The sequence below is a fragment of the Homo sapiens genome, chromosome 12 (genome assembly GCF_000001405.40).
Source record: "Homo sapiens chromosome 12, GRCh38.p14 Primary Assembly".
Classification (NCBI taxonomy): Eukaryota; Metazoa; Chordata; class Mammalia; order Primates; family Hominidae; genus Homo; species Homo sapiens.
The window spans coordinates 11874931-11888968 of NC_000012.12; the positions used below are offsets into that span (position 1 = coordinate 11874931).

Consider the following 14038-nt stretch of genomic DNA (forward strand, 5'->3'; position numbering starts at 1 on the left):
GATATACCTAATGTAAATGACGAGTTAATGGGTGCAGCACACCAACATGGCACATGTATACATATGTAACAAACCTGCACATTGTGCACATGTACCCTAAAACTTAAAGTATAATTAAAAAAAAAAGATACATGCAAATTTATGTCTGTTAGGTATTTACCATATGGAAAAACTAAAATAATCAAGAAAGGAAATTCAGTAGGTGGTTGACAGTTTAAATACAAATCACAAATGACATCTTTTTAAATATAACAAGTAGCTTATTTTTAAAGGTGTCACTTACTTTGCAAAGGATAAGGAGAACTGTTATTAAGAATTTACCAGGTTGGAATGGCTAGTGTTTATGGGAGAGAGTTTAGCACAAGACGGAGTGAGACAAGATTGCTGGGGTCTTATTTTGAATCCAGCAGCCAACGCTGTATGGAATAGTGAAAAAGTTGCCTCTTTCTGTGCTTGTTTTCTACTTGGTATCTTTAAGAATGGGCTATTTAGGAGCAAGGAGCCTAGCAGAAAGCATCTGTCAATCTTCTAAAACTTTACCTACAAAAGTTTTACTGGCTTGTGTCCCACCAGTGTGTTTCAAAGCCAGAAAGTATATTGGCCACAAGCACCTGTAGGTGGCTGAGGTGTGACTGTAGTCATCCGTGAGTCATGTTTTCAGTATGTATTGAAATTCCTTATTTGGACTTGATTTCAAAGGTAGAAGGGCCTTTTACAGGTGAAGGAACTGAGATTGAGACACATCAAGAGTCTAGCCTCGAGCTTCTGTTCAGTGTTTTTCCCAAAATTATTGTTTCCTTCTGGTCTGGGACTCTAGAGCAAAGATTGAAAACTGTGGCCCAAAGTGTGAGCCAAATCCAGCCACCATGCGTTTTTTTTAAATCAAGTTTTCCTGGAAAACAGCCAAACCCATTTATTTGGTATTGCCTATGTCTGCTTCCATGCTGCAGTGGCAGAGTTGAGTAGTTACAACAGAGATTGCATGGCCAGCAACACCTAAAACATTTATTAGTTGGCCCTTTACAGAAAACGTTTGATGCTCTCTGCCTTGCAACATTGTGTACGTGGTGGTCAGTGTGCTTGGAATCATAGGTGCAATGTAGGATGCAGACTTAGAAAACAGTGCCCTTGCTCCCAAGGAATTATTTGCACTTTAGATGACAAGGCATGTTTGAGACATGTGAAAGGAACAATAACAAGTTATGTAAGAGAGGAGACAGGTTCTGGACTGCAGGCTATATTTTCAGACCAACCAGAATAGTTACGATAATATCATTAACATAAATAAAATACTAAGTATTTAGCTACGTAAAAGAAACGATTTATTTGCACTTTGGATTATACAGTTCTTCATTCATTGATTCAAAAATTATTGCCAGTCTGCTCATGTGCCAGGCATTGTTCTAGATGATAGGGCACTGCATCTCTAAATGCCAAATTTCGTATCCTTGCTGGTGGAAGGCAATGTCCTCTTGCTTTATGCCATGACACAAACTAAGCTCCTGCTTTAACTATAGACAGCTAAATCTTAAACGAACACTTTTCAGTCAGTTTAGTTTTCTCTTAAAGTACTTTAATTCCGTTAAAACCTGAGCCACCAGATTTCCTGTCTGCCTGTCTCTTCCTTGGCCTTAATCCAAAACTCTGCTGAGGAAGAAGATTCGTTGGTACACTGACAATTGTTTTATAATCCATTCATTTCATAACCCCTCATTTGCTACCCAAAAGTGGGGACCTAAATCTGTACAGATTTACGTGTTCAAAGGCCATGGCCTACCCAAATAGAGAATATCTCCTTTCTTGTGTTTCTCTCACAACTTTTGCTGAAGTCTCTCCATCTTTGTGAACATGAACTTCTCGATTTGTGAGGCTATCGCTGGTCAGTTGGGTCATTAATCCTACAGCAGGCAAGACACAGAATTTCCTCTCAGCTCAAGATCTCTTCACTCCCAACCCTCTTAGAACACACTTCGCAGCAATCCTTGGAATCTTTAAAGGTAGCCTTTTGTGACTTTAAAAAATACTTTTACTATCTCTCAAGGTTACATCCTTAACAGAAACAAAAAGATTCTAATCAGCGAGACATCAAGTCTCTTGCATTGCTTATTTGTCACCCAACTAAAACAATGTACTTTCTTGATTTGGTTTTATTGACTGGATGAATTATATATATACAAAGATTCAATTAGGGAAGCCTCTGAAGTAAGATGAAGAAAAAAGTATGAAACTCCAGAGAAAGCAGTTTGAGGCTTATCCTCAGGGGCTTCAAGGACTGGGAGAAGTCACTGTATTCTGGCATCTTGCTTCTGTCTCCACTTCCTCCCACAGTGTTTAATGCTGCTGTGAATTTGTTTCAAAGGAAGCCTATAGACTTTTTTTTTTTTTTTTAATTTTGTACATGAGCCTCAGGAGCAGCCTTGACAGCTAAAAGACCTCGTAAAAGAGAAGTGTGAAGGGATTGCATGAAAGTGCTGGGGGCAAGTCTCAGCCCTCGGCCTTTGTTGGAAGGTGTGGGGTGTGCAGACACATGTGCACCTTCGCACACATGCATCTGTGCATAAATATCTGTGTTTGCAGGAAAGAAAAGATAGGGTTGTGGGATGTCCCCAGAAGCCACAGGGATTCCAGTGTTTTAGTACCAGGTGAAAGAGCCGCTTCCTCCCACACTATCTCAGGGAGATGCCCTTCTGTAGACCTCTGTAGCCCAGTACCCTCAAGAGCTCCTGGAGACAGATGGCCCCGAACAGTCCTAGGGAAGCAGTGTGGGCCTGTGGCAAAAGCTTGGACTGCGAAGTCAGCATGATTGGAATCCGGTTCTTGACTCCCAAGCAGGTGCATAATGTCCCTGAGCCCTTCTTTCCTTATCTGTAATATTGAGAATAGTAATACCCATTTCTGGGCCCTTTTGACTGTTAATGAGACAACATGTGAATGCATGGCACAAGAAAGTTAATTGCTACGTGTCACTGTCCCCCCCTGCCTCACTGCTGAGCTGCCATCCTGCCCATCTGAGAGGGACTGTGTGGGAGCTGTGGGTACAGCCAGCACAACTGCCTGCAGAGCCACGCAGGGCACTGACAGGGAAGGCCTGTGTGGGGTGCCCTTCAAGGCCACCTCCGTTTTCTTATTTCCTTGGAGATTTACTTTTGTGCTCCTGCTTCCCCTCCCTGAAGCTTTGCCTGCTGTCCATATTTGGAGGGGATGAATAAGATGAGCACTGGGGAGGGGAGGAGCCATCACTCCAGCAGGAATATTCCCAGCGGCTGAGTCACTGCATTTGATTTTCAGTGTGAACAACTGAGAAATCAAAGAGCCCTAAAAGAGGAGGAAGTTTCAGGACAATGTTTTTAAAAGATAAAAAAACATCAACAGCATGGTGTCTGAGTGGAAAATAATAGAAGGGGCTTGAGGAGACTGGAAATTCCAGTTTGTGTAAGGGCGCACAGTGCTGTAATACAGAGTCCTACCTCCCTGCAGTCCCTGGATGTGAATTCCCAGGCTGCACCCACACCTGAGCAAAGCGGAGGCTGGGCCTTATTAGGTTCTGACTGCGGGCTGGATCTCAGCTGCAGGCTGTGAGTTTCGGATACCGGTGTTTCCAAGCCTTCTCCACACCTTATGTAATCACAGGTGAAAAGGTCCAGCCTCATTTGCAGCTGTGGTTCTTCTGCCCCAGGAAGCCAGGAAGCGTAGATTTTTGTATTATTTGCCTCCACTTCTCCCTCCCCCAGCGTGCCACCGTGCACATATGTTTTCTGTTTTCCTAAGCCACGGCAAAGCACAAGCAATTGCCCATTGTAAACACACCTCTGCGTATCAACACACACCTGGCTGCACTGGATTGACCAACTTTCTGCTTCTAGGTAATGGCTGATCTAGAATAGAGGAGGAGGAGGGGAAAAAAAAAAAAAACAAGCAGCAGATGGCCCCCTGAATGTTGTAAACCGTGTTTCTCTAAGCAGGGTTTCTCAACACTCTCGATATTTGGGCCAAATAATAATTTGTGGGGTTGCTTACTATATTGTAAGAGATTCAGCAGCATCCCTGGCCTCTACCCACTAGATGCTAGGAGCACCCTGCACCCCAGTGTGACAACCAGAAATGCCTCCAGATATTGCCACATGCCCCCAGTTCAGAACCATATTTGTAAAGCTTAGTAGCAACTTTTTTTTTCATATGCTACTTTGCGTGTTTTGTTGCTGAACTGGAAATAAACGTTAATTTTTAGGTAATAAATTTCAAAAAATGTAACAGGGACACTCAGCCTCTCTTCTGGTAATTATGCCCATGACACTGTCATTTGCAGGCCTTCTTTAAAATTCCACTTGGGCAGTTAAAAGAACATAAAATGACTTTCTTAGAAGCTTTCCTGAAATTTAAATTAACCACAATCATTAAACATTCCCTATGTCAATAATTTGACTTTCCTACTCAAAGTTTTTTAAGGCATCAGTTTTGTCTAGCGTGGTTTTTTTCTTTAGAAACCATGTTGGTTATGTGTGAATTGCCCATCTTTTTACAATCTCTGCTCAATAAGTTTATACAATGAGTCTCTGGTAAGAGACAGACGTGGGAGTGAAAATATTTCTCCTTAACCACAGGAAGGGATTTTTTACAATGCCTTTAGCTGCGGATACCGAGGGTACCTCACCCAGCAGGAAGGAGAGGGAACTATACTTGGGCTAAACACTTTCATAAACTACTTCTCATGGAAAAGAAAATCCAAATAGTGGAAATTTCTTTAAAATATCCATGTGCCTTGAGATAGAAGAAAGCCCTTTCGTTTAAGAAAAATGCACTTAAAATTAATGAATACCTTGTGATCCAAAAACATTTTATACATATACGTTCAGGTGTTTTGAAGTGGAGTGAACTTCTATTTATAGAGTGTGTTGCGCTTTATTATATAGTATTATGCATTTACATTGATGATCAAAGAACATTGTATCTGTGCAGGCATGGGTTCCGAAAAGGCTGAAAAATTCCAGGTGAGCCGTGGCAACAACCTCTAAAGGATCTAGGAACCTAAAGAGGATCTGCCTTTTATTTAATAGAAATCTTAGAAACAAAAATAACTGACATGGCTTGAATGTCAATTGTTTAAAAAAAAAAAAAAAAAAAGGAAAAAAAATCTATTGTGTGGTCAGGCAGTTATTTTTATCATCTAGGCATAATTTTTACCAAAGAAACAAAACAATCAATAATGTTATAAAAGCCACTTATACTCTGAGCTTGAAACAACTGCTTTATGCCACAAAATTCCTATTGCTGTCTCCGTTAGTGACTAATTCAATATGTCCTGAATGTCAACGTATTTTTATTACTCAGCTAAAGTTGGCTTTGCTGGATTAAATGTCATTTAAAATGATCAATTGGCAGCTTGTTTGGGGTTGTTTTCACATTTATGAAAGGAAAAGTTTGCCGGATACAAATGTTCTTGAAGCTGATAGGGAAACGGTGTTCTCTGGTAAGCCCTGCCCTTCCTTTTGCCATCTGATAAGTAGATAACATTCTAGGTCCTAGTTTGATGCCTCCGAAAAACCAACATGGCAGCCCAGTGCAGGTTAAGCCCTTACATTGGAGAAATGGTCTGGTTCACGTTTCACTGTTTTATGAGAAGTAGAATGTACCATTACAGTAAAAGAGAAGCAACAGAAACATGCAGTGAAAACGCCCATGCTTGTGGTTAGAGAACTGTCCGCTTTCTTTTTGCTCTACAGTAGGCTTCTGAGTGGAGTGCCTTCCGCCTAGAGTCAAGAGGGCTGCCATGATGTCACCCACCTTCATATGGGCAAAATGTCTTTATATGAAACTGTAAAAGACAACCAGGTCGTTTCTTAATTGCTGAAATTTATTAAAATGAACACACTAGAAAATCACATTCCCAATCCAGAGGAATCCAATGGCGTCGTCAGCCTATTTGCAATGGAAATGATTGTAAACCTATAGGGAGACATAGGAGGGGCTGCACACAAACTACTTTCGTTCGTCCTGATTTACTGGCTTCTTTTCCCCCTAGAGATACAGTCTCACTCTGTCACTCTATCGCCCAGGCTGAGTGCAGTGGGTTGATCATGGCTCACTGCAGCCCCAAACCCCTGGGCTCAAGCAATTCTCCCACCTCAGCCTCCCAACTAGCTGGGATTACAGGCATGCACCACCACGCCTGGATAATTTTTAAATTTTTTGTAGAGATGAGGTCTCGTTATGTTGCCTGGGCTGGTCTTGAACTCCCGGACTTTCAAGCAAGTCTACTGCCCCTGCCTCCCAAAACAAACATTGGGATTATAATTATAAGCCACCACACCCAACCCTAATTTACAGGCACTGTATGTGATAATATGTGATTTTGTCAGATGTTTTCCAGTTGGAAGAGATTATGGAAAATTAAAATGTGTCTGCCATTTGATAGTAGGACAAATACTGAAATATTAAGCCACAGCTGAGTTCTGGCCTTAGTCCTTTTGGGGCTGCTCTGACAAACTGCCGTAGACTGGGTAGTTGGTACGCAATAGATACGGATTGCTCCACAGTTCTGGGGGCTGGGGAGATCAAGGCCCTGGCAGATGAGGCATCTGGTGAGGGCCCACTTTCTGGTTCATAGACAGCACCTTCTTGCTGTGTCTTCACTTGGTGGAAGGGTGAGGGGTCTCTCTCAGGCCTCTTTTAAAAGGGCACTAATCCCACTCACAGGGGTGGGGCCCCCAAGACCTAATCACCTCCCAAAGGTACCTTGGTAGTTAGTTAGGATTTCAACAGATGAATTTGGGGAGGACATGAAGATTCAGACCACAGCAGATCTCTATTTTCCCTTTATAGAGAAAGTAATTCAAGACAAGGAGATGCTTACAAGGGAAAAAGACACTTTGCCACTTTTTACTGCTTTGCTTAGAAACTAGAATCATCCTCCTTCAAATGCCTGTAAAACGAGCTAGATTATTCTCAGTCTGCAGTAGGACACTGATTTCTCAAGGTACTTAAGATGCTTGGGTTGCTCATCTTCTCCACACCCCCACCTCAGCCCATCCCCTGGCAATACAGAATGCAGCCATGGCAAGACGGGGTGGGCAATAGAAGTGGCTGGACAGCTTCTGTTGTTAGAATGGGGTTCAAAGTCCAGGACTATGGTGTTGTTGTTTTAAGAAGGAGGCCACTTGTCCTTTTCCAAAACACAATGAGTGACACACCACATTAATGTTTAAACACAGATAATACAGAAGAAAGGATTCCATAAGGGATACTAAAGATTTAGGGCTGCTGTACATTTAATGGTAGTTCCTTGAAAGATTAAGCTTCTGGAAAATGCCACAGTTTTCTGCCAGTGTCTTCTGCTATTCAAAGAGAACGCTGGAGTTCAGAAAAGATACACTGAGCAGGTGTACTTTGTTCTGGAAAGTCCTAAGATTTTATAAACATACACCCATTAACGAGTTTCTCTGAGACTAGAAATTGCATTGGGAAGTGTGTCATAGCATGGGTTTTGGGGTCATGCACAGCCAAGAATCCTGTGTGTCATTCATAAGCTGTGTCCTCCTGAGTAAATCATCAAACCCTCTCAGCCCCAGCTTCCTGATCTATAAAATAGGAATAGCAACAGCACCTGCCTCATAAGGCGGCGTAAGGGTCAGATGTAACCAGGCTTGTCGAAGCCACAGCACAGTACCTACAAATAGCACCCACTAAATACCGTTGTTATTTTTATTACTTTCTCTTCCCTCCCATTATCACTAATATAATAATCCTGTAAAGTAAGTGCTGTTATTCCCACTTCATAAGTGAGGCAACAGAACCTCAGGAAGATTAAGAAGCGTGTCCAGGGTGGCCCAACTGAATTCCCCTTGTAAATATACCCCCAGAGAAGGGTGTATGTTTCTCTGCAATGCGGATGTGTTGGCTGTAATATATTCCAAGTCTCAACTGGACACTCCCCTTTCAAATGTGCCAGGCCTAGGCCTTGCCCAAAGTAAAAAAGAAAGAACATTGTAGTGCAGGAGTCCAGAGTGCAAATCCTTGTGACCTCAGGCAAGTTATTTCAACCTCTCTGAGGATCAGAAATAATACAGGTAAAGTGCCGAGTTCATACTTGTAATTCAGTAGTTGATCTTCCATCACCAGCCATTCTGACAAGTGCCTATAAAAAGTGGGCATTTCCAGAACCATGCAGTGAACACCTGGAAATTGGTGCTGCTCCTCATCTGGAGGCCAGTTAACCTTTAACTCAACCTAGAAGGCACACATCTGTCCCCAGCTGCCTCTCCAGGTTCTGCTGGAGGGCAACCACACACCTTCACAGCACACATCCAGAAAGTCATAGAACAAGGGGAAGGTGTACATCATGTCTTCTTCTTTTTTTTTTTTTTTTTTTTTTTTTTTTTTTTTTTGAGACTGAGTCTCACTTTGTCACCGAGGCTGGAGGGCAGTGGTGCGATCTCGACTTACTGCAACTTCCACCTCCTGGGTTCAGGCGATTCTCCTGCCTCAGTGTCCTGAGTAGCTGGGATTACAGGCACACGCCACCATGCCTGGCTAAGTTTTTGTATTTTTAGTAGAGACGGGGTTTCGCCACGTTGGTCAGGCTGGTCTCAAACTCCTGGCCTCAAGTGATCCACCTGCCTCAGCTTCCCAAAGTGCTGGGATTACAGGCGTGAGCCACCACGCCCGGCCATGTCTTCTCTTTTAATTTACTAGCCCACAGCCAAAAACCAAGGCCCAACACCATGCCTAGTCCATATTAAATCACCTAACACTTAATAAAATATCCATTGCCTGACTAAATGTTCAAACATCAGTTCTGCAAGTGGAGAAAGTGACTTTTGCACTGGGTTCCTTTCTGCCATGATCCACTATATCAAAACATTTTTTAAAGACCTCCAAAATGTGATAGAATGAGAATATCTGTATCTCTTTTTGAAACCATGCTAGCCACAGTTCCCACAGTCAGAGTCACCAAGCCACATAGTTTTTCTTTTCCCACCATTTTTCACTCCTCACTCCTTTTTGCTGTGTTTTAGCCTACCCCAGCCTTCTCATCTTTATCCATCCATCTCCCACCAACACCAGGATAACCTTTTCACTCCACTATTTTTTACCACACAGCTCTCTCTGTAACCATCAGGACCCTCTTTCCACCCTTTTTTCCTTCCAGCCTGCATTTAACACACATTCAGAGCCCATTGATTCAGTTAGAACTTGCCTCCCGTCTTTCACATGGGTTCTGCCCAGGTTTAAGTTTGGGTCACGACCGTGGACTTCTGGGTCACTGTATCATCATCTGTGGAGGGAGGCTGTCGCCTGGATCATCTCTGAGGCCTCCGGTGGGTCAAAGGTCACACAACAGGACCTCCCTCCATCTTTCTGGGCCTCCGTTTCTTCCCGGTAAAACAAGGAAGTTAGTTAGACAATCAGTCAACCCAAGCTAGGCAGAAGCAGTTGCTGGATTCTTTTTTGATTCTTCTGGTTAGTGCCTCAACAAGAAACATTTTCAACAGTGTTTTCTTGCCCTTTTCCTCTGTAGACTGTAGACTGCTTTGGGATTACGTCTATCAGTTGCTTTCTGACAGCCGGTACGAAAACTTCATCCGATGGGAGGACAAAGAATCCAAAATATTCCGGATAGTGGATCCCAACGGACTGGCTCGACTGTGGGGAAACCATAAGGTAAAAGGGCAGCAGATATCTGCTCCATAAACTAGTGCCAAAATGAAGTCCTTATCCCTGGATTGGAGGATAATCGTCTGTCTTCTGCTTTTTACGTCTGCCCATACTTATTTAGTTTATTCCTTGCTGGGCAAGCAATTAGGCAGTTGCAAAGGGAAGGAAATAATTAAAGATGCATCTTGCCATTTGTTCCTGAGACCAGGTGCCCATTAACTCACATATCCTGGTTTGCTGGGCTGCATCATGAGTGACTCTTGTTTCCACTCCCCTTGACCTGATCCCGCCACCTCCACTGTTGTTAGGAACTGGGTAAAAGGGAAGTACAGCAAGACTCTCTGACTCACAGGGGACCTTTGGGAAGTGCCACTACTTTTCTGCTCAGTTAGAAACTCCCATGTTCCCCAAAGCCCATTTCTTTATAGAAAATACTTAGATTCTGACTGTAAAACATCCCCTTTATAAGCAAGCGATGCAAGAAGTTTGCCCCACAATTTCCCAAACTGGGAGGAGGGAATGGAATTGAATAAAGTCTTTTGCAGTAAGGAAGACTGCTCAAGTGCGCAGTTGTAAAAAGCGGGTAACCGTGATCCAGGCCAGTCGATAGGTGGACCTGAAGCAAAGCCTGATGTTGGCATGGTGGCACAACCCCAATCCGCTGAGTGAGTGAAAAGGCAGGGAGGCCCAGCCAGGTGTGCCCAGACCTGCAGCCTTCTAAGAAGGCAGTGGGTAATGCAGACCATGACCAAATATGGCAAGGCCCCACTGACAGACACTTCCATGTGTGAGTCACTGAGAAAAATCCCTCTGCTACTCCCACTGTACCATTGCCTCGGGCCCAGAACCACTGTATTCTTGCTTCCACAACAGGAATTTAAACAAAAGAATTGTCTTCCTTAAAATGACAGACCAGAAACACAAGTTTGAGAAAAGGTCATTGCAACAAAAAAAAAGAAATGCTGTGTGGGTCAGAAGGTGAAGGGTGACCCAGAGATAGGGGGAACCTGCAGGAAATTCCTCAGGCGGAGCAGAGAGCGGTCTTGGGAAAAGGAAATAAGCGAGGCTGCTATGGGATCTGCTTTATTAGCTAGGGCTCCAGGACTTCGGACAAAGGGTGATTCACCTTAGGAGTAAACCTTGGTGACAGTGAATATAAAAAGCTAAAGGGTGGGGACAGATGTGCCTGGAAGGCAGCCGATTAGCAGGTAGCTTCCCAAACTGGCAGGGCCACAGGCAGCAGCTGAAGAGCTTTTATTTTAATAGCTCCCGCAGTGCCTTTTCTGAGGTTCATTTCATTGTGTCTTTGTGCTTTTTTTCTCCCTTCCTCCTTTGAACAAACAGAACAGAACAAACATGACCTATGAGAAAATGTCCAGAGCCCTGCGCCACTACTACAAACTAAACATTATCAGGAAGGAGCCAGGACAAAGGCTTTTGTTCAGGTAGCACTTCCTTTTTCTCCTTTCCTTCTTTTGGGAGGATGCTGTTTTCTTTAAATAACGGGGAGTGGGGGGAGACTGTTAAGATCTCTACCTGCCTATCGGATACCCAAAGCCAATCATTGCTACAAACTGGATACCAGGTACTGGTTTGTTAGGATTTAAGGAAAATATTTTTTTAACTTATGTCTGTCCTGTAATAAAGCCAAAACTAAATGAACAGAATCTGACTCACCTTTAAAATAACGCAGTGACCAAATAATATTATGTGGCATTAAAGTCCGGTGTAGTTAAAAGCACAAAGTCAATGGCAAAACAAGGAATTAAACCTAGACTTCCAGGTTACCATCGCTGTAAGGCAACTTTCTGAACCAGTATTTGTCAAAATGCAGGTAATGACCCACAGTGAGTCATGAAATAGATTGAATGGGTCCATCAGAGCTTTTTTTTTTTAATGAAATAAGGATAGGATAGGATAGAGTTGAAAATGCCAGACTGCATGACATGTAGCAAGAATGACAGTTGATTCATGAAAATGTTGTTCCAGGTGTGTATGTACGTGATGAGTCATGATGTAAAATGTATTTCTTATAATGCATCGTAGTCAGAATAAGTCTACAAGCTGCTGCACTAGAATTTTTCTTTCCAGAATTCCTCATAGATAATGAGTTCCAACCAAGTTAGCCTGCCACCACATAGATTGTAATTCCAAGTACTATGCAAGAGAGGAGAAAGAACTGGAAGAAGAAGGAGGGATCTGAAGGACCAATCAGGAGATGTAGAAGTAGACCTCTGGTGCTGGTGGTAGTCATTAGCGGGGCCAACTGCAGGTTGGTAGAAGTGAGATCAACAAACACAACCTTGGGTGATGAGTTTTGGCAGGTGGGCCAGAAGAGAGTGGCAGATGGGGCTAGAGATGTAGATTGTGAATTATCTATATACAGGTAGGAAGTGATACCATGTATGAACAGATGAGCTCACTGATATGATTAATTTATTGGAAAGAGCAGAGAATCTGGTCTTTAGCATTGGGAAGGAATGGTAACTTAGGAATAGTAAAAGCAATTAAGATCTTCAAAAGAAACGGGAAAGGCTCTTCAGGAAAGGGAAACAGAATAGAAGGAATAAAAAAAGAACCCTCCATTCTCTGGCTCTACCGTATGGCTTTTCTTCATCCTTCAACCTAAACGCAGTCCTTGGCTCCCTTTCTTCCCACTCTATACCTTTTTCGTGGATGAACTGATCCCGACACACAACTTCATTTATCACCTCAGTGGTTAGGCTCTTAAATCTCTATATCCAGCTCTAAAATCTCCCTGAAATTCCAAATTTGAATGTCCAAGAGTTTCCTGTAGGCTGTGTCCCCTTAAATATCACATTTAAGTATTTCAGACATGACATCTTCAAAACAGACACTTGTCTCGGATTAGAAATTCCACCCAGAGGCCGGGCATGATGGCTCACACCTGTAATCCCAGCACTTTGGGAGGCTGAGGTGGGCAGATCACGAGGTCAAGAGATCGAGACCATCCTGGCCAACATGGTGAAACCCCATCTCTACTAAAAGTACAAAAATTAGCTGAGCGTAGTGGCATGCACCTGTAGTCCCAGCTACTCGGGAGGCTGAGGCAGGAGAATCACTTGAACCCGGGAGGCAGAGGTTGCAGTGAGCTGAGATCGCGCCACTGCACTCCAGCCTGGTGACAGAGCGAGACTCCATCTCAAGAAAAAAAAAAAAAAAAGAAAAGAAATTCCACCCAGAATTATTGAATTCTTTACTCATCAGGGGCATCACTGCTGTTTGAAGCAGCCAACTTTGAAACTACAGTTCCCTTTGACTCCTCCTGTATCCCAGTCATTGTGCTAGATGGACCATTGGCTCTTCAGCACCATTCCCACTCTATTCTGTGTTGCAGGGGCTAGAAGCCTGGGAACTACATTTCCCAGAAGGGACTGTTGCCAGAAGTTCCCAGGTTGGAGTCTTTCAGTGACAAGCAGTTTCATGAGATCTGGGAGACTAGAAAAAAGTAAAGGCTTCCCTGGCAGTGGAAGCTGATGTCTGGACTTCATGATTCACATCGGGATTCACTCAACAACGTCTTTCTGTCTCTAGTCCACTCTGCTGCCTCCTGAAACCATAATACAAACTGCCAGCTGCCCTACAACACTAATACAGTTCCCTATGCCAGAAATGTATATGACTAACTTTTGCCTTTTTAATACCTACACCCTCAAGGCTCAACCTCAAGTCTGTTGCCCTGAATGAGGCCTTCTTCAGCTGCTCCAACACACATAGCTGTCGTCTTCCATCATCACCTGGGTTTCCTGGAGCCCTTAACTACACTACAATTTGCTTTTTCTTTTCTTTTCTTTTCTTTTTTTTTTTTTTTTAGACAGAGCCTTGTTCTGTCACCCAGGCTACAGTGCAGTGGCACAATCTCGACTCACTGGAACCTCCACCTCCTGAATTTAAGCAATTCTCATAATTATCATGCCGTAGCTAATAGTAGCTGGAATTACAGGTGCCTGCCACCACACCTGACTAATTTTTGTATTTTTAGTGGAGACAGGGTTTCGCCATGTTGGCCACTCTTGTCTCAAACTCCTGGCTTCAAGTGATCTGCCCACCTTGGCCTCCCAAAGTGCTTGAATTACAGATGTGAGCCACTGTGCCTGGCCAACTTGTTTGTTTTTCTAGAGACAGGGTCTCACTCTGTTGCCCAGGCTAGAGTGCAGTGGTGTGGTCATAGCTCACTGAAGCCTCAAACTCTGGGCTCAAGCCATCCTCCTGCCTCAGCCTCCGGAGTAGCTAGAGCGACTACAGGATTTATATTTTGAATACAGGTTGAGTATCCCTCATCTGGAATGCTTGGGACCAGAAGTGTTTCCAGTGTTTGGATTAGGGATGCTCAGCCTGTAGTTTTATGTGTCAAGTCCTTCTCCCC

The 14038-nt window shown here is 43.4% G+C and overlaps 1 protein-coding gene across 11 annotated transcripts in view, besides 4 other annotated features; it reads left to right on the forward strand.

Annotated features, from left to right (window-relative positions):
* The window catches only part of ETV6 (ETS variant transcription factor 6), a 245704-nt gene that overhangs the window by 225257 nt on the left and 6409 nt on the right, over positions 1–14038 (forward strand). For 10 of the 11 annotated variants that reach the window (XM_047428502.1, NM_001413914.1, NM_001987.5 and 7 more), the window contains 2 exons: positions 9515–9657; positions 10996–11096. The exons of the other annotated variant lie outside the window; for it this stretch is intronic. In XM_047428502.1, coding sequence (XP_047284458.1) covers positions 9515–9657; positions 10996–11096 — 244 coding nt within the window. The remainder of the gene's footprint in view (positions 1–9514; positions 9658–10995; positions 11097–14038) is intronic. 11 annotated transcript variants of the gene reach the window in all.
* Positions 517–566: a silencer, noted in NCBI's record as "silent region_4248". NCBI's record gives its function as "represses an Ori minimal core promoter by ATAC-STARR-seq in GM12878 lymphoblastoid cells {active_cell/tissue: GM12878}" and the evidence as "EXISTENCE:reporter gene assay evidence [ECO:0000049][PMID:35858748]".
* Positions 3307–4104: an enhancer, noted in NCBI's record as "H3K27ac-H3K4me1 hESC enhancer chr12:12031171-12031968 (GRCh37/hg19 assembly coordinates)". NCBI's record gives its function as "activates a minimal SCP1, AML or CMV promoter by ChIP-STARR-seq in primed H9 embryonic stem cells {active_cell/tissue: H9 hESC(primed)}" and the evidence as "EXISTENCE:reporter gene assay evidence [ECO:0000049][PMID:30033119]".
* Positions 9331–10530: an enhancer, noted in NCBI's record as "CDK7 strongly-dependent group 2 enhancer chr12:12037195-12038394 (GRCh37/hg19 assembly coordinates)". NCBI's record gives its function as "activates an origin of replication core promoter dependent on BRD2, BRD4, P300/CBP, MED14 and CDK7 cofactors, with strong dependence on CDK7, by STARR-seq in HCT116 cells {active_cell/tissue: HCT116}" and the evidence as "EXISTENCE:reporter gene assay evidence [ECO:0000049][PMID:35650434]".
* Positions 10557–11267: an enhancer, noted in NCBI's record as "H3K27ac-H3K4me1 hESC enhancer chr12:12038421-12039131 (GRCh37/hg19 assembly coordinates)". NCBI's record gives its function as "activates a minimal SCP1, AML or CMV promoter by ChIP-STARR-seq in primed H9 embryonic stem cells {active_cell/tissue: H9 hESC(primed)}" and the evidence as "EXISTENCE:reporter gene assay evidence [ECO:0000049][PMID:30033119]".